Source organism: Homo sapiens, chromosome 2 (genome assembly GCF_000001405.40).
Source record: "Homo sapiens chromosome 2, GRCh38.p14 Primary Assembly".
NCBI classification, from domain to species: Eukaryota; Metazoa; Chordata; class Mammalia; order Primates; family Hominidae; genus Homo; species Homo sapiens.
In genome coordinates, this window is record NC_000002.12 from 44196407 (window position 1) to 44216667 (window position 20261).

General features: G+C 38.1%; 1 protein-coding gene across 8 annotated transcripts in view; it reads left to right on the forward strand.

Moving 5' to 3' along the window:
- Window positions 1-20261, forward strand: part of PPM1B (protein phosphatase, Mg2+/Mn2+ dependent 1B) — a 78054-nt gene that overhangs the window by 27532 nt on the left and 30261 nt on the right. For 6 of the 8 annotated variants that reach the window (XM_011532936.4, NM_177968.4, NM_001033557.3 and 3 more), the window contains exons 2-3: window positions 4780-5639; window positions 12804-12921. In XM_011532936.4, the coding sequence (XP_011531238.1) occupies window positions 4794-5639; window positions 12804-12921 (964 nt within the window). In that variant the 5' untranslated portion in view covers window positions 4780-4793. Of the gene's footprint in view, window positions 1-4779; window positions 5640-12803; window positions 12922-17289; window positions 17352-20261 lie in introns of all 8 variants that reach the window. The other 2 variants (XM_047444837.1, NM_177969.4) reach the window with 2 other exon arrangements.

Sequence of the window (20261 nt, forward strand, 5' to 3'; positions counted from 1 at the left end):
AAGTGCCTTTCTCATTAGATTATGCCAAGAATATAAACCGTTGATGTCAAGTTTGATTACCTGGCTGAGGTAGTGTTTGTCAGATTTCTCCACTGTAGAGTTATTCTCTCCCTCGTTTTCATTTTGTACTTTTTGAAAAGAAAATAACTGCCCAATCCACCCTTATGGGGTGGGAAGTTGTGCTTGACCTATTTGAAGGTGGAAGATCTACATAAACTGTCTGGCATTCTTCTGCATTAAAGGTTTGTCTGGTATCCCCATTCATTTACGTATTCAGTCCTTTATTTTTATCAGCAAAGACTCATGAATGTTTGTACTATGGGTTATAATCCAATATTACGTTATTTTGTTGCTCAGATTGTTTATCCATTAAAAAAGAAAATGATCTGTCATAGACCAAGAGTGGTTATAACATCTCAGAAATAGAATCACTGGATCGGAATTTCCAATTATTATATAATCTTGGTATTTTTAGGATACATTTCTAAGCCACCTTAGCATGTTTGGCAAAATCACAGGTGGAGAGATTTTCCATAGCCAGTCTACCTTGCTTGTACTACACTGTACTTGGAATGACTTAACTGAGGCTTACCTTTTAGTTTTCATTTTTTAAATAAACTTTTAATGTTGAAATAATTTCAGATTTACAGAAAAGTTTGCAAAGGTAGTACAGAGTCTTCCCCATCTACCCCCTACCCAGTTTCCACTAACGTTAACTTTTTTTTTGAGACAGGGTCTTGCTGTGTCACCTGTCATACCACTGGAGTGCAGTGGTATAATCAGGGCTCACTGCAGCCTCAACCTCCCAGGCTCAGGAGATCTCCCACCCCAGCCTCCTGAGTAACCCAGGCTACAGCCGTGCGCCACCATGTCTGGCTAATTTTTAATTTTTTGTAGAAATGGAGTCTCATTATGTTGTCCAGGCTGATCTCGAACTCCTGGGCCCAAGTGATTCTCCTACCTTGGCCTCCCAAAGTGTTGAGATTACAGGCATGAGCTACCACACTTGGCCACTAATGTTAACTTTTTGCATTTACTGTAGTGCGTTTATCAAAAACTAAAAAAAACTAACATTACTCTTCTGTTAACTAAACTCTAGTCTTTGGATTTCACCAGTTTTTCTAGTAATTCTGTTTATCTGTGTCAGTATCCAGTCAGGGATATGACATTGAGTTGCCTTTTGAGCCCCTGAACATTTATATAACTATTATTTATTTTTTAAAAGGAAGAAAAAAGCTTGCGATACATTAGCCACTGAAGCCCAGAGTTTGAGAATGCAAGATTTAGGCTAGTCTTAATAGGTTCGATTTCTGATTAGCCACTTAGTTGTGTTGTCTGGATACCCTAGGTATCCCAGTTTTCTCAAGGTAAAATGAGAATATAAATAGTGCTAACCTTACTAAGTTGTTATTAGAATTAAATGATATAGTGTATATCAGTATCTTAGTGTAGTGCCTGACATATAGAACTCATTAAAAAATGAGGCATTGTTATCGCTATTTATGTTACTTTTCTAGTCGAAAGAGCAACTTACTAGCCTTCAGAAACCTTTGGGAAAAATTTTATCCATGAGCCTGAAGCATCCCTAACACCACCGCATTTTCTTTGATAGGAAGCAGATGGGATTGACAGATTGTGCTGTTCTTAAGCCACGCTTGCCAATGTCCATGTGCCCCCTCTAAAAAAGTGTGCCAAGTGCAGTAAGGAGGAGAATTTTGAAGTATTTGGTCGTCTTTTCTTGAAGTTTTATGATTTTTTGTTTGTTTGTTTTTGAGACGGAGTCTTGCTCTGTTGCCCAGGCTAGAGTACAGTGGCACGATCCCGGCTCACCACAACCTCTGCCTCCCAGGTTCAAGCAATTCTCCTGTCTCAGCCCCCCGAGTAGCTGGGATCACAGGCACCCACCACCATGCCCGGCCAATTTTTGTATTTTTAATAGAGACGAGGTTTCACCATGTTGACCAGGCTGGTCTCAAACTCTTTGCCTCAAGTGATCCGCCCGCCTCAGCCTCCCAAAGTGTTGGGATTACAGGCATGAGCCACCGCACCCAGCCTGAAGATTTTTTATTAAAGGTTTCCCTGATAATTGTTTGCTTTTTTGATATTTGTTTTTCTAAAGAGTAGAATTTAAATAAGTTAATGTTTGTGAAGCATTTAAGACAGAGCCTACCACAGAACAGGCACTACAGAAGTATTTGCTTGTTCCTTGGTCCCTCAAATAAGATAAAAGCGTAACATAATGTGCCTCTGTTACAAAAATGAAACGAAATAATAAGAGGTACGAGGGCCATTAACTCTCTCAGATTACTTCCCTGGTTGTCTCTGCAGGGGCTTGGTTTCGGACCAGACCTATGTGCAGTCTGCCCCATCATGCTCTTAAGACTGTTGAAGATTCTTACTTTTGGTCATAGGGCTGGTAAAAGTGCAGGTAGTGTCTGGCATTTGTAATTACTAGGGAATAAAGGGAGAATGAATTAGTTTAAGCAGTTTTTTCACTACGTATTTTGCAGTTGAAAATTTCATTACAATCACAAGTATCCCATATATGGCTACTAGGAAGAAATGGTCATGGCCGGGCGTGGTGGCTCATGCCTGTGATCCTAGCACTTTGGGAGGCCGAGGTGGGCAGATCACAAGGTCAGGAGTTCAAGACCAATCTGGCCAACATAGTGAAACCCCATCTCTACTAAAAATACAAAAAATTAGCTGGGTATGGTGGCGCGTGCCTGTAACCCCAGCTACCCGGGAGGCTGAGGCAGGAGAGTGGTGTGAACCTGGGAGGCGGAGGTTGCAGTGAGCCGAGATTGTGCCGTTGCACTCCAGCCTGGGCGATAAAGCGAGATTCCATCTCAAAAAAAAAAAAGAGCCGGGTGTGGTGGCACGTGCCTGTAGATCTCAAAAAAAAAAAAAATAAAAATAAAAAAAAAAAAAATTGAGCCAGGTATGGTGGCACGTGCCTGTAGTCCCAGCTACTTGGGTGGCTGAAGCAGGAGAATGGCTTGTGAACCTGGGAGGCAGAGGTTACAGTGAGATGGCACCATTCAACAGAGTGAGACTGTATCCCCTCACCCCCCAAAAAAGAAAGAAAAGTGATTTAGTAAATACAGCCAACAATTCTGTTTCATTTGCATTTAAGTATCTTTTAAAGTTGCCTTTCAGATGAAATAGCCTATACAAGCAAGCATATAAAAATGTACTTAGAACTAGGCTTTAAAATCATTGTATCACAGAGAATTAAACCAGCATGTTCAAAAGTAATCAAGCATATTCTGTTACATTGCTCTCAGTACAAAATATGACATTCTACTGATAGAATGAAAAATAATTTTTACATGATTTTAATCTTATCCTTTCAGGACTCTTTTTCTATAAATACATTTGTAATTTATTAATACAGTATCACATATAACCCAGGAAAATTATAAAACTGGTATGTAACTTATAAATATTTACATATATATATCGAGTGGTTCATCAGATTTTTTTAAATGGCGATATGTAATTTTATTGTAAAGTTCAATAATGATCATACCTGGAAAAAATCTCACAAAGATACGTAGACCCAAATGGAGGTAAATTGATCTAGACCAGTGTCTCTCAAAACTTTAAATCACCAGCATGCTTTTTTGATGATTCCATCTAAGATCTATTGAAAAAAATCCTTAGGTGTGGGAATAGGGCTATGGAGTCTGCATTTTGAGCAGATATAACAGCAAACATTTTATGGTGTTTATTGTGTTTTAAGTGCTGTTTTAAGCACTTTACATTGACTCATTCTTCACAGCAGCCCTATGAGGTATAGGTACAGGTGACTAAGAAATTTGCCCAAGGTCACCTAGTTAGAGTGTAGGGTTAGCATTGTATGTAGAAAACATACCAGAGAATTCTTTTGCATACTTTTGGGAACCATTACTCTAAGTCTAATCTAAGTCATTTGAAATTGGGAAAGCTTTATTCTATAAAATAGTAAAGTTGGGTAGGCGGGGAGAGGGTGATGCATAGTAGTACTTTCCAATTCTAAGGATTTTAAGTCTTTGTCAGTCAACACTGGGTAGCTACTTCATGGATTTTAAGTTCAGCAAAGTGAAGTCCATTTTTTAGCACCATGTTAAAGGTATGTTTTTAACAGAATCAAAGTAATGATAAGGTTTTCAGTTTTATAGATATATAGTAAAAGTGATAAAACCAAATGTGTGTAGAATGGAGATTTTTATGTTTTAATTGAATTTTGGGGTTGTCTTTAGGTTCACTGGGAGGAGAAATCTTGATTTCAATACTTGCTTTTGAAAGTCTTCTAAAGTATATTAGTATACCTTCCTACCTTGATTTATTGAACAAGATGACTCACTGTTTTGAATATTCTCATTGTCCAGTCTTCTGTAAACTTACATGTCGAACCCTAGACTCACCTTGTAAATTAAATCAGAATGAAATTATTAATGAAGTTTTATTTCTTGTTTTTTCCTTTCTCCTAGAACAGTGGTCTCAACGTGGCTGCACATACAAGTCACCAGAGAGGCTTTTAAAAGATGATATCTGTGTCCCATCCCTAGGGATTCTGATTTAATTGGTCTGATTATTCTTACGCGCTAGGGCTGAGAAACCACTGTTCTGTAGGATGTAGGGGAGGAAATTTCTTGGGCTTTTGTTGTTGCTCCCGTAAATTAGGATAATACTAAAAAAAATACTTGAGGTAGGAGTTACTAGACTATAGAGGGAATATTGTACATACATTTTCTGTCAAATTTAAACATTTAACACCTGCATTTTTTATTTCAGATTTATTGCTAAACATGGGTGCATTTTTGGATAAACCCAAAACTGAAAAACATAATGCTCATGGTGCTGGGAATGGTTTACGTTATGGCCTGAGCAGCATGCAAGGATGGAGAGTGGAAATGGAAGATGCACACACAGCTGTTGTAGGTATTCCTCACGGCTTGGAAGACTGGTCATTTTTTGCAGTTTATGATGGTCATGCTGGATCCCGAGTGGCAAATTACTGCTCAACACATTTATTAGAACACATCACTACTAACGAAGACTTTAGGGCAGCTGGAAAATCAGGATCTGCTCTTGAGCTTTCAGTGGAAAATGTTAAGAATGGTATCAGAACTGGATTTTTGAAAATTGATGAATACATGCGTAACTTTTCAGACCTCAGAAACGGGATGGACAGGAGTGGTTCAACTGCAGTGGGAGTTATGATTTCACCTAAGCATATCTACTTTATCAACTGTGGTGATTCACGTGCTGTTCTGTATAGGAATGGACAAGTCTGCTTTTCTACCCAGGATCACAAACCTTGCAATCCAAGGGAAAAGGAGCGAATCCAAAATGCAGGAGGCAGCGTGATGATACAACGTGTTAATGGTTCATTAGCAGTATCTCGTGCTCTGGGGGACTATGATTACAAGTGTGTTGATGGCAAGGGCCCAACAGAACAACTTGTTTCTCCAGAGCCTGAGGTTTATGAAATTTTAAGAGCAGAAGAGGATGAATTTATCATCTTGGCTTGTGATGGGATCTGGGATGTTATGAGTAATGAGGAGCTCTGTGAATATGTTAAATCTAGGCTTGAGGTATCTGATGACCTGGAAAATGTGTGCAATTGGGTAGTGGACACTTGTTTACACAAGGTATGTAAACTTTTTTGTCATTAAAATAACATGTTAATTTTGAAAAGTTACGGTAGGTAAAGTTAAGCTAACTTAAAATTTTAAAACTTTTAATATTTTCACAGAAGCTGTATATTTTGAAGTACTTTACCAGAAATGAAACCATTGTTTTCTTTGCCATCCTTGTTTGTCCCAGCCTTCTAATTTGAAAATTAAGCTTGATAAATTTGAGGCATTTGTTGTCATTTAAGTACTTCATAGCTTGTTGCTGTAGCAAAAGCATTTACACAGAGTGACTTTTTCTTGACATTGGCAGTAACCATCTTATGCCTGATTATGAAGCAGCTTGATAAAATATGTATATAGTAGAATTCTGTACTAGATATTACTAAAAGATCAAGAGCCATGTGAAATATTGGAAGATGTACTAGATGCCTAGCCTGTATAAAATTTAGTCCTGAGCCTCCTAGCAGTGAAGACAAAAACTGAAATAAAAATATGGGTTGTATATTTCTCATTGTCTTCTAAAAGCAGCTCTTATCTGGCAATACAATCTAAAAAGGATTTACATGTGGCTCTCTAAGTAATACATGACTTGGATAGTATCTTTTGTAGAAGATAAAATTCTTTTCATATAGATGTTTTTATTATTTCTGATTAAAAACCAAAGGCTTCTATAAAACATAATCTTGTGAAAAATTCCTGTGGAACACTAAAGTTTATTTAGATTTGTAATTTTGTATGAATCATTGCTTGATACAGTAATAGAAAAAAAGTCCAGAGTAATAGATAATTGGCAATCCTTTGAATATCTTTAAAATACTCAGTTGTTTCAAGTGGGTTTTTGACAGCATCTATATATAATTCAATTAAAATTTGAGTTATCTGGCCAGTGTCTGGAGTGTGTAAGTATTTGACTGAAAAGATACCAAGGTAAAACTGACCTTTAGTTACATGAAATAAATAAAGGGTTTGACTTATTTATTCTGTCTAGATTAGAACCACTGTATCTCCCTACTCCAAAATGTACTGTGGAAGGTATGGGCATAACCAGAAAGTTTTTCAGAAAGGATCTCTGGGTCTCTGGAAATGCCCAGATTTTGGTTAAATACCGATTTCTTTTTAATAGAATGGAAAGAGGCAGTTTTAAAAACAGAAGATTTAAAGGCCGTTCTTGTCAGTGGACAGCCTTTTTCTGAAAGGATTTTAATGATGGTACCTCTAGCTCCTCTGATTTTTATTTTTAACACACTGTATCTTTTTACTTCTGGATGAGTTAAGTAAAGAAGTATTGATGGTTGTCAGTGATCAAATAGTAAGTGGGTCTAAAATTATGTATTTGTCTTTGAACTCTAAATGAAGCAATTCTGACCTGTAGATTTTTGAGACAAGCATAGGCATATGTTTGTTGCCTGACTAGCTAATGAAAACAGCATTTTCCCCAATTATAAAAAAAAGGTATATACTTACTATTGGAAAAAAAATCCAGATGATGAAGAAAATATAGAGAAACACCCAAAATTTTGCCATCCACCCTAAGTCAGCTACTTTCATTGTTGTGGTGTATATTGTTCCAGTCTTTTCTGCCTGCCTGTGAGTGTGTGTATTTTTATAAAACCGAGATGATTATACTTGTTATTCTACAGCCTGCCTTTTCCAACAATATATTGTAGAGAGATCTCCATGCCTATAAGTATTGATCTGTATCATTTTTCTTGGCTGCGTAGTATTTTATTGAAAGAATGAGGTTGTGAGGGAATAGCCAAAAAATCTATTAGGTCTGTAATTTGGACTAAGGAAAGAAGTTTGTGTTAGTAGATTAACTCACTTATCCATTGAAAGGATGCTAGTTTTTGAGAATTTTGACTCGACCCTTCTGAATGAGGTTTAAATATTTCTGGTGGTATATCTTCACTTGCTAGCTTTTATCAATTTAGAGTGATTAAATGTTCATGTTGATGGTGTTAAAAGATTCTAGATGGCATCCTAGAATCTCAGAAATGAGGAATGATAATAACAGACAAGAAGTTGGGGCCCATGATTCATTCAATGTTAATGGAAGCTGACCATCATAGTTCCTTCTAATGGAGCTGCATTCAAATTGAAATCAGTTTGGAGGTTTGAATTGAAACAAAACAGACTTAAAATTATTTTTGAACCTTTGAAAGTTACTTATGGAAACCTTCATTTCTGTTTAACTTCGTAATTTTGTCTTTCCATTTATTTGTATTGTAAAAGCAAGGGTTAGCAATAAGATCAAATATAATTACTTTGAATTTACTCAGAAAAATTGTAAGTTAAAAATTCATGGAAAGCACTTAGCGATTGCACAGTAGTTACCTGCTGTAAGAGGAGAGGAAACATTAATAAGTAGATGTTTCCCTGATAAGAGATTTAAATGAAGTCCTAGTTTTTTCTAACACCTCCATCACTTGTCATACTTTCATAATTTATAAGCACTTTTATCTTAACTCATTAAATCTTGGGAGGTTATCATAATCATAATCGTGGTAGTATTAGTAAATTATTGCTTTCTGTAAGCCAAACACTATTCTAAATACTTTACATATTTTAACTCATGTAATTTTCACAACCATATGAGGTAGTTAAGATGACGAGGTCAGGAGATCGAGACCATCCTGGCTAACGCAGTGAAACCCCGTCTCTATTAAAAAATAGAAAAAATCGGCCGGGCGTTGTGGTGGGCGCTTGTAGTCCCAGCTACTCAGGAGGCTGAGGCAGGAGAATGACTTGAACCCGGGAGGCAGAGCTTGCAGTGAGCCGAGATCACGCCACTGCACTCCAGTCTGGGTGACAGAGCGAGACTCCGTCTCAAAAAAAAAAAAAAAAAAAAAAAAAAGATAAGCATTTTTCAGGGTTGCCAGTTAATATTAATCTGTAAGTGTTGTATGACTGTGGTCAGGTATTATCCTATTTAAATTAGGTATTTAACTCGAGGGGAGAATGGGAGCTAAGAAAGCAACCCTCCCATTTTATTTGCAATGCTGGCATTTATGGTGTTTACTGCCAACTAATTTCGGGTTGCTTAAAATATGTAACTGCCACGTGCATAGCTTTTCATAACTTGTAAATGATACATACTTATTAATCCTCATAGTAACTTTCTGAGGTGAACAAAATAAAAAGTTTTTTTAATTTGCAAGTAAGGAAATGGAGGTTGTTTGATATTAAAAGATATCCATAAGTCATATACTTGGTGAGTATTGAGGCTGAGACTAGTTTTCTGACTCAAGTTTAGTATTTTTGTTAACAATATTTCCCAGAAGGGCCTGATAAAATAAAGAAGAGTGGGTGTGGGTGTGGGTGTGGGTGTGTGTGTGTGTGTGTGTGTGTGTAAGTGTCTGTCTGTTTCGGTTTTCATGGTCTGAGAAATTTTTCCCCAAGGGAAACATTAAGACTAAATTTTTTTTGTAACAAATACAGAGATGTTTGAAGTAAAGTGATTCCCCTTGATGTTTCTGCTTTCCAGTCTCATCTCACTTAGGGAACCACTGCTCATGGTTTGCTGTATATCTTTCCAAATGGTTCTCTGTGATTATTGATAGAAATGTATAAACGTAAAATAGGATTTTTTCTTTTTTTGTATTTTATAGAAAAAGATCATGCTATGTTTGTTACTTTGTCACCTGTTTTGTTTTTCTTAAATTATAAAAGTCGGTATTCTTTTAAATTGTTCTTTTAAAACATTATTTGATTTTCCAAAATTTCATTTATATACCATCTACCAGAAGCCTATTTATTTTAAAACATGAGATAGTACCTCATAGTTGGATAAAATTGAGGGAAATTATCATTTTCCAAAGGCAACATCATTCTATATTAATTTATATAACATAGAAAATGTAACCCCCTCAATAATTGTTTAGTTCTAAACTCAGGAGAATTGCTTGAACCTGGGATGCAGAGGTTGCAGTGAGCTGAGATCGCGCCATTGCACTCCAGCCTGGGCGACAGAGTGAGACTCCGTGTCAAAAAAACAAAAACAAACAAAAAACTGTATCAGATTGTTTTCTGTTTAAGTTTAGATGCCCTTATTTATGGCAGGGGCACTGGCGTCTTTGATCTGGTACTATGATTATTAAGAGTGTTAACTGCTGTGCTGTTGTAAAAAGTAAAAAGAACATGTAATAATCAATTTTTATATGCAGAGCTAATTTCTTTAGTTATCCAAACTGGATTTAGAAAAAAAAATGTTTTATTTATGGACTTAGTGAAAACTTTATACTGATTATACAAGGATGTTTTGTCTCTAAAAAACAATGGCACAAAGGAAAGGACCTTTTCTGTTGCTGTATAACAGCTACTGAAACATATTCATACTTGGTGTTTAGGGGAAAGCCATCTTTACATAGAAATAGAAGCAAGCCAGGCAAGGTGGCTAAGAAGCAACATCACTGAAATCACACATGCCTGAGATGTAAATATAAATTATTTCCCTTAAATGTCTTTGGAGAACCATAAATTTATTGGAACTCTCTTTCAATTAATTTTCCAAAAGTATTTATATTTTATAACTTACAAAAATCGAATGGAAATTAGATAAGGAAATGTTCCACAATGCTCATGTTGTTGTTACCAAAAACTCAAAAGGGTTAAAAGAAATTAGATTTCTAAAAGTGTAAGGTGTTAATTCCGTTTATGCATAAAATTGCTTTATAAAGTGTAATTATGCTTGATTCTTTTTTTGTTGTTGTGTTTTAGAAAGGGTGTCTCACTGTGTTGCCCGGGCTAGTCTCAAACTCCTGGCCTTAAATGATCCTCCTGCCTCAGCCTCCCAAACTGCGGGGATTACAGGCAGCCACCATGCCCAGCTGTTTGATTCTTGAATATCCATGGTGTACTTTAAAATTATTTTTAATTAAAAATTTTTGCTTGAACTGCCCTTATGACATTTATACAAGTATATTCATATAACCAAACACATACAGTATTTCTAATATAAAAGTTTTGGTGGGTTTCATTAAGGAATGAATTAATTTGGCCAATTTGGAAATGGTTTTTCCAGATAACCGGGAATCTAATGAAATACTCAAGTTGGTTCCTTGTTCCAAAGCACAACAATCTGTGACAAGTTAATTTATTTTGAAGTCTTCTGAAGACCCAACCTTCACTGCCTTCAAACTTTACTCCCATTGAATTAGGAGGTGAAGGCAGAAGTTATTCAAGGCCACCTGTCTTTTGGGCTGTGTCATGTAGGTTCTGAAAGGCATAAGTCTGAACCGAGCCATGCCTGCCTAGATTCTAGTCATAATAACTGAAAAGACTAGAAAGGGTGTGGTCTTGGTTTCTTTCACTTGAGTTGGCAAATTTGGCAAACACTATCAGACAAAATAGCCTACCACCTCCACTGACTTTGTTTTTTAGAGTGAACAGAAAAAGAAAGTTTGAAAAAAATCGTTATTCCAAGAACAGTTTCATCTGCTCCTGCTCTTAGAAACTCAGTTAAAGTAATATACCTTTAGAAAAAGTAATGAGAACGTATTTTTAATTGATTGCACATAATCTCATGGTACTAGAGTAGTATATATGATATGCTTTTTTTTTTTTTGAGAGAGAGTCTTGCTCTGTTGCCCAGGCTAGAGTGCAGTGGTGTCATCACGGCTCACTGCAATCTCCACTTCCCAGGCTTAAGCGATCCTTCCACCTTAGCCTCCCGAGTAGCTGGGACCTGGGACTACAGGTGTGTGCCACTAAGCCCAGTTAATTTTTGTGTTTTTTGAAGAGACAAGGTTTTGCCATGATGCCCAGGCTGGTCTGGAACTCTTGGGCTAAAATAGTCTGCTCACCGAGGCCTCCCGAAGTGCTGGGATTATAGCCATGAGTCACAGTGCCTGGCTTTATGCTTTTTTTTTTTTTTTTTTTGGAGACAGTCTCACTCTGTTGCCCAGGCTGGAGTACAGTGGTGCAATCTCAGCTCACTGCAACCTCCACCTCCCGGGTTCAAGTGATTCTCCTGCCTCAGCCTCCTGAGTAGCTGGTATTACAGGTGCGCGCCACCACGCCTGGATAATTTTTGTATATTTGTGTAGAGATGGGGTTTCACCATGTTAGTCAGGCTGGTCTTGAACCCCTCACCTTGTGATCTGCCCTCCTCAGCCTCCCAAAGTGCTGGGATTACAGGCGTGAGCCACCGTGCCCAGTGTATGCTTCCTTTTTAACATAGGTAATTTGTGATGGTGTGGTTAAAAGGGAGAAATAAAATATGTCCTTAAATTAGCTATTTTAGCCACTTTATAAAGATTCTGAAACTACTTGCGACTATATAGCAATCTGATGTCTTTTCTTTTAAAAGTTATCACATGACTACAGTTGGATCTCAGTTGTCCAGTTACAGTCCCCCCTGTTACTGTGCCCTCTGAATAGTTTCTTGTATTAATAGTTGTGGGGCTGGGCGCGGTGGCTCATGCCTATAATCCCAGCACTTTGGGAGGCTGAGGTGGGTGGATCACCTGAGGTCAGAAGTTCAAGACCAGCCTGGTCAACATGGTGAAACCCCATCTCTACTAAATATAAAAAAATTAGCCGGGCCTGGTGGCCGTCACCTGTAATGCCAGCTACTCAGGAGGCTGAGGCAGGAGAATTGCTTGAACCTGGGAGGCGGAGGTTGCAGTGAGCCAAGATTGCGCCATTGTGCTCCAGCCTGGGCAACAAGAGCGAAACTTTGTCTCAAATAGTAATAATAATAATTGTTTAGTTTAGTATTTTGGGTATTCTGCCGAATAACAATTTTCAGCTATGTTAAATTCATGGAGTCGTAGCATTGCTCTGAGGCAGTTTAAAAGCTAAGCTGGAAAACATTTGCATATGTGTTTGGGAGGATCCATTGTGGACTTAAGCCAGTTTGGGAATAGACAATCTTGAGTGGGAAATAGTTTAGAAGATTTAATATGTATTGAAGATATCTTCATTTCTCAGACTGGAATGGCTGTGGGTAATAATAGTTCACCAGAATTAAAAATACAGAAATGCTTACAGATATACCCATACCTAGACACCTTGTTTCTTCAAGTTGTGTTTTTAGTAATTCATTGGAATAAAAATGAATGTGTTAAACATAAACGTTCTGGATGATTAAATAAACTATAATTGCTTAAAGTATTTTGAAGTAAATAATAGTTGATTGTAGAAATACAATTTTTTTTCTTTTTTTTCTTTAATACACAGGGAAGTCGAGATAACATGAGTATTGTACTAGTTTGCTTTTCAAATGCTCCCAAGGTCTCAGATGAAGCGGTGAAAAAAGATTCAGAGTTGGATAAGCACTTGGAATCACGGGTTGAAGGTAAGACAAATGCTTTTTAAAAATATAGACAGGCCAGGCACGGTAGCTCATGCCTGTAATCCTAGCACTTTTGTCGCCTGGGCGACACACCAAGGCTCTGTCTCAAAAAAAAAAAAATTTAGAGAGGGAAAGTATTCTTTTTGTTTATCAAATGATTATTTTAAAATTTCCTGGTCAGGCGCAGTGGCTCACACCTGTAATCCCAGCACTTTGGCAGGCTGAGGCGGGCAGATCATGAGGTCAGATCGACACCATCCTGGCTACACGGTGAAACCCCGTCTCTGCTAAAAATACAGAAAATTAGCCGGGCATGGTGGCACACACCTGTAGTCCCAGCTACTCGGGAGGCTGAGGCAGGAGCATTGCTTGAATCTGGGAGGTGGAGGTTGCAGTGAGCCGAGATTGCACCACTGCACTCCAGCCTGGGCAACAGAGTGAGACTCCGTCTCCAAAAAAAAAAAAAAAAAATTCCATAGGACAAACAAGTATTTCAAAACAAGTCCTTGAAAAAACACATCTATCTGTCTAAAATTTACTGTCTTGGACCAATTTCTGGGGATTGATTGACAGGGAGAAGACAAATATGTCTGTTTCACCACCAAAGAGAAACATAATTTGAAGGTAGTTCGTTAGAGCTTGCTGGTTTATTTTTTCTTTCTTTTTCTTTCCCTGCGTACATTCCTAGTAGTAAGTGGAGAATCCAGTGAAATTTCCCCTAACAGTGTCATGAAAACAAGTACTCTTAATTCCGCTAATACTAATTCTCCCTTTTCGGGTTAATTATCATTGGAATTCATTACGGTATCCTTTCCCTTTTATTGATAGAGTTAACATTAGTGTTTCAAAAGATTATTTTACATATTTTTTTAAACTTCATTTGGCAATAAATTTTTTTTTTTTTTTTTTTGAGATAGGGTCTTGCTCTGTTGCCTAGGCTGGAGTACAGTGGCATGATCTCGGCTCACTACAGCCTCAACTCCCTGGGCTCAAGTGATCCTCTCACCTCAGCCTCTCCCAAGTAGCTGGAACTACAGGCACGTGCCACCACAGCTGGCTAGTTTTCTTTATTTTTTGTAAAGATGAGGTCTCACTGTGTTGCCCAGGGTGGTCTCAAACTCCTGGACTCAAGCAGTCCTCCCACATTGGCCTACCAAAGTGCTGGGATTACAGGCATGAGCCAGCACAGCCAGCCTAATAATTTTAAACATACAGAAAAGTTGCAGAAGTATTACAGGATCTCCCATGTACATGTAGTGTCCTTTACCTAGATTCCTTATTTGTTTATGTAATACCACGTTTGGCTTATCTCTATATATACTTTCTGTAACATTCTCATTTTCTGTCTCCCTCCTTCCTTCCTTCCCTCTCCACCTCTCTCTCCTCTTATTCCCCTGCCCCCCATATTACTAACCTTTTTCCTGAGCCAAATCAATTGAAAGTTGCAAATATGATATATCAGTACTACTTAATAAAACGAAGATTACATGACACTACATAACTGTAGTATATCCATAAAAATTAGGAAATTGACCCAGCACGGTGGCTCACACCTATAATCCCAGCACTTTGGGAGGCTGAGGTGCACGGCTCACGAGGTCAAGAGTTGGAGACCAGCCTGGCCAACATGGTGAAATCCCATCTGTACTAAAAATACAAAAATTAGTCGGGCGTGGTGGCAGGTGCCTGTAATCCCAGCTACTCCGGAGGCTGAGGCGGGAGAACTGCTTGAACCTGGAAGGTGGAGATTGCAGTGAGCCGAGATCATGCCACTGTACTCTAGCCTGGATGACAGAGCAAGACTCCATCTCGGGAAAAAAAAATTAAGAAATTAACGTTGATACAATATTACTTTGTAATCCACAGATCCCATTTAAATTTCCCTAATTATCCCAGTAATGTCATATGTAGGTCCAGGATGCAGTCTAGAGCATGTGTGCTGCATTTAGCTGTCATGCCTCTTTAGTCTCCCTCAATGGAAAAAGTTCCATAGTCTTTTTTATTTCTGTTGACCTTGACATTTTTCAAGAGTACAGGTTTGTGGAATGTGCAGCTTGGGTTGGCTGATGTTTCCTCTTGATAAGATTTAGGTTATACATTGGCAGGAATACTGTGGAAGTGATTCTAGATTCTTCTCAGTGCATCACAATCAGGGAGGCATGTGATGTTGATTTATAATGTTAACATCTTTTGTGACTTGCTTGGGTTGTTGTCTTTCAGGTTACTTAATTAATAATTATGTTATACCTAATAAGTATTTAATAAATATGTTATACTTATTCATAAGTATTCTATGGGGAGGCACTTTGAGATTGTTAATAACCTATTGCTCATTAAGATTTTAGCAGATAGTTTTAGCATCCATTTGCGATTTTTGCCTGAAGAATGATAGCCAACTGGTGATTTTCTGATTCTGTCTTTTTTTTTTTTTTTTTTTTTTTTATGATGGAGTTTCGCTGTTGTTGCCCAGGCTGGAGTGCAATGGCATGATCTTGGCTTACCGCAGTCTCTGCCTCCGGGGTTCAAGTGATTCTCCTGCCTCACCCTTCTGAGTAGCTGGGATTACAGGCATGTGCCACCACACCCGGCCAATTTTGTATGTTTAGTAGAGAGGGGGTTTCTCCATGTTGGTCAGGCTGATCTCGAACTTTCTGACCTCAGGTGATCCGCCCGCCTTGGCCTCCCAAAGTGCTGGGATTACAGGCGTGAATCACCGCGCCTGGTTTAGTCATTCTTTTTATATGTATTAGCATTTTACTGCAAGGAAAAATGTTCTTTTCTGCCTGTTTGTTTATATGAGCACAGACTCACGGATTCCTGTTCTATTCATTGTATTATCAACTGTTTCAGGCAATGAGAGCCTCTTAAAACTTGTTGTAGCGTCTTTTTGTCCTGCCTGCAGCTATACAGTACTACAGGATTTATTATAGTTTTCTCCCTTTTCATATTTATAACTCTCTTCTACAGAAAGAAACCTGTCCTCTACTGTCAACCCAACAAATCTGTCACGGCTAACTCTCATGCATATGCCTTCCTCACTCCAAATTGCCCATCCCAGTTCACCCTATAGCCATCCTAAAGCTATGCTTACTGTGGTTAGGCATGAATATCCCATTCTGGATCAATTTGTGGCCACTATTTCCCCCTCCACTCCCTGAAAGATTTGTTTTGCTTAGCTAAGCAAATCCAATCGTGTTGGACAAAATTATTCAGGAACATGAGAAGGGAGAAGCTAGTCTGTTTATCTTTAACATAATTGCTGATATGTTTGAGTTTAAATCTGCCGTCTTTCGTGTTTCATCTATTTTTTTTTATCCTCCATTCTTGCCTTCTTTTAGATGTATTCCAGTTCATCCTAGGATTTGCTTATTAGTTACACATTCTTTAAAAAATTCCGTTTAGTAGGCCAGTCATGGTGGCTCACGCCTGTAATCCCAGCACTTTGGGAGACCGAGGCGGGCAGATCACGAGGTCTGGAGATTGAGACCATCCTGGCTAACACGGTGAAAACCTGTAACTACTAAAAATACAAAAAGAAATTAGCTGGGCGTGGTGGTGGGCGCCTGTAGTCCCAGCTACTCAGGAGGCTGAGGCAGGAGAATGGTGTGAACCTGGGAGGTGGAGCTTGCAGTGAGCCAAGATCCTGCCACTGCACTCCAGGCTGGGCGACAGAGCAAGACTCCGTTTCCAAAAAAAAAAAAAAAAAAAATTCCATTTAGTAAAAAGGAAAAAATTTAGTGGTTACCCTGAGAAAATGAAAATTTTTCAGTCTTAAGGCCCTTTTTTTTTTTTTTTTTCTTTTCCACTTTCAACCCTGAGAAGCTAAGTATCATAATCTTAATATAACCTTTTGGTTTTATATATGCTGTTTTTAAGATATGAAATTACTTTTTATAAAGTTAGATTGTCAATCTTTTTTCTTTTCTTTGTGGGAGGACTTTGATATCATACCAAGCTCTTCCACTCAAGGTTACATAGTTACCTGTATTTTCTCCTAACACTTTTATGTTTTGATTCTTTTTTTTTTTTTTGGAGAAAATACATTTGAATGATATAACTTACGATGATGGTATAATAGTTCGTTGAATTTGGCCATTTTGTATATAGTATAATAGCTTTGTTGAATTTGGTCATTTTGTATATAGTAGGCCACAGTAATTGGTGAGAGTTTTGAAGTGTGAAGATGTGTGATTTCTAATATGTAATTACAATTAAAAGTATAAAACCAAGAAGAGAGTCTTTTGCAAATTTGGAGAATGGGGATTTATCTTTTCTGTCTCTACAACTATCTAGCTATGCACCCTAAACAATGTGCTTAAAGTTTTTTTTGCACCTACAATTTCCTCAGCCCTAAATTAATCTTGTTTTTAGGTCTCAATGCTTTTGAGTTTCAATGAGTCCTGCTTTGAGGGTGATGAAAACGTGAGAAACATGTAAGAACACATTGAAGATTATGTCAGATGCGGTCATATTCCTATTGATAATATCATTAAGAGGAGCTGTTTTTATAGGAGTTAATATTTAATGATAAATTGTAGTATATTGGGGTTGCAGATTGCTGACTATAGTTTATCAGAAGGTGGGAGGAATTCTCTTAGTTTCCTTCTTCCTCATTCATAAAGAAACTGGGTAGTTTTTATTTTAGGAAGAGCTCTCTAGTTTGGTCAGCTGGCTGTTATGTGAACTTATCCAACTTGCTTAACCCCTCAAGGCACCAGTTTCTTTATTGGAAACTAAAGATAAAAACACCAACCATAGAGTTTTTTGTTTTTTGAGACAGAGTCTCGCACTGTCACCCAGGCTGGAATGCAGTGGCGCGATCTCGGCTCACTGCAAGCTTAGCTGCCCGGGTTCACACCATTCTTCTGCCTCAGCCTCCGAAGTAGCTGGGACTACAGATGCCCGCCACCATGCCTGGCTAATTTTTTGTATTTTTAGTAGAGATGGGGTTTCACTGTATTAGCTCAATCTCGTGACCTCGTGATCTGCCCGCCTCGGCCTCCCAAAGTGCTGGGATTACAGGCGTGAGCCACTGCGCCCGACCCCATAGAGTTTTTTTTTTTCTTAAATAAATTGTTACAAAAAAAGCTTATTGATGACACTTGTTAAAGATGGTAAGGCAGATATTTTTTCGGGGGTGGGGGGGGCATGGCAGTAGATATAGGGACCACTATGATAGAATCTTGCAGTGGCAGAAAGAAATTAAACTCAACTTGGGGTCCCATAAAGATAAGTGGAATTTATAACTAAGGAGCTGAGTGCTTGAAGGGAGTGTCAGTGGATGGAAAATTATTACTAAGAGGAAGCATCAACATAAGGGGTTTCTGGCTAAACTGACTTGATAGCATGGCAGGCCAGGCTAAAATATCCAGAGTGGTCCTATATCAAGTGTGTGGGGGTTTTCAGTAAACTGACTGAGCAGGATTCTCATTCAGCCTGGTTTCTACAAGGACAGAGAGGGAGCCTAAAGTTCTCCTAGTCAGAAAGAACTCAAGAGTCTTGCTGAAGGTTTGGTCCAAGCAAAGAGTTTTTGTCAAAATAAATGAGAATTATGTTTGTTAAGCACCTATTATGGTGCCTAGCACGTAAGTCCTCAGCAAACTGTAACTTTATATGAACTCTTAACTTCTGTAATAGCCACATTTTAATTTCTTAAAGGTGTGGTCAATTCAGTTTAACATGAGTTAATAATTTAATATTAATTTTCTTCTGCATAGTTAGTAACTTTCTAAAGTATATATTATATAGGAGAGATAACAAATATGTAATATGATCTCTAGGGCCTGTAGCAAATAGTTATTATTAATCAGGAGACAAAATTGTTAGCTAGGCAGCCACTACAAATCAATTTAAGTTGGTACTTAAAATGTAACTTCACAGTAGCTTACACCTATAATTCTTGGGATGCCGAGGCAGAAGGATTGCTTGAGACTAGGAGTTCAAGACCAGCCTCGGCATCATAGAGCTACAAAAAAGTTTTAAAGATTAGCTGAGCATGGTGGTGCACACCTGTAGTTCCAGCTACTTGAAGACTGAAGCAGGAGGATCACTTGAGTCCAGGAGTTTGGTGTTACAGTGAGCTATGATGGCACCACTGCACTCCAGCCTGGGCCACAGAGTAAGAACATGTCTTTAAGAAAAAAAAAAAAGTAACTTTTTATTTGTAAAGCAGTGTTCTTCAGGAGCATTATGTTTCTTCTGGGGTTTTAAATCATGTAATATGACATTAAATTTTGTGGTAAATACATTCTGGTGTACTTGGTAAATCTGTGTGTATGCTTTTAATGATGACTGGTCAGGTGGGAAAGGAATAATATTAAAATAAACAGGGAATAGTAGTTCACCTGAATTGATGAATTATATATTTAATGATTGCTTTCTACATACAGGTTTACTCAGTGTTTATTGAACATGTGTCACTGAGGATATAGCAGAAAAAGAAATCTCATAGAATTTGTATTCTAGTAAAAACCTATTTTTTTTTAATAGAGAAATAAAATAGAGTAAGTAGAGAGCAACAAGGAATATTGGTTAGAAATGTCTCTGTGAGGAAGGATGTTTGAGCAGCCGTGCTTGGAGAGAGAATATCTGAGGGAAGAACATTCCAGGCAATGACAACAGCAAAGACTAGGAGGGAATGTTCTTAGTGAGTGCAGCTGGGTTAGAATAAGCCAGTAGAAAACTAGAGGAAAATTAAGAGGTTTGTAGGAGGCATATCATGTGAGGACTTTGGACTTTGACTTGTGGGAATTCATTGGAAGATTTTGAGTACAAGAGTGATTTGTTCTTTTTTCCAAAGGATCTCTCTTAGTTGCTGTATGGAGAAGAGATTGTATAAAAGGGACAAGAGAAGCCAAAATACCGATTAGAAATTATGCATTAATGCATGGTAGTGGTAAATTGGACTAGAGTAGAGGGGTGTAAAAATGTCTGGTGACATTTTTGGTGTCATAGCTGAGGGGGTGCCACTGGCATCTAGTGAATGGAGGCCAGGGATGCTGCTTAATATTCCACAGCACACAGGACAGCCCCCACAACAAAAAAATTGTCTGGTGTAAAATGTCGGTGTTGTTGATGTTGAGAAGCCTTATACTATAAGACACAGATTTAAGGTAGAAAACTTACAGTCCTGCTTTCATGAAGCTTGCAGTCTATGACCCAATAAACATCGTGTATGTGGGAGTATATAGCATTATGGTATACAGTACATGTCATGCATATGGGAGTGTATTGCAGTGTACCTACTCAGACTTAGGTCAGAGAAGGATTTGAGAATGTGACATATAAAATTGAAACCTCAAGGATGAAAATAGGCATTCATAGCTGGGCGTGGTGGCTCAGGC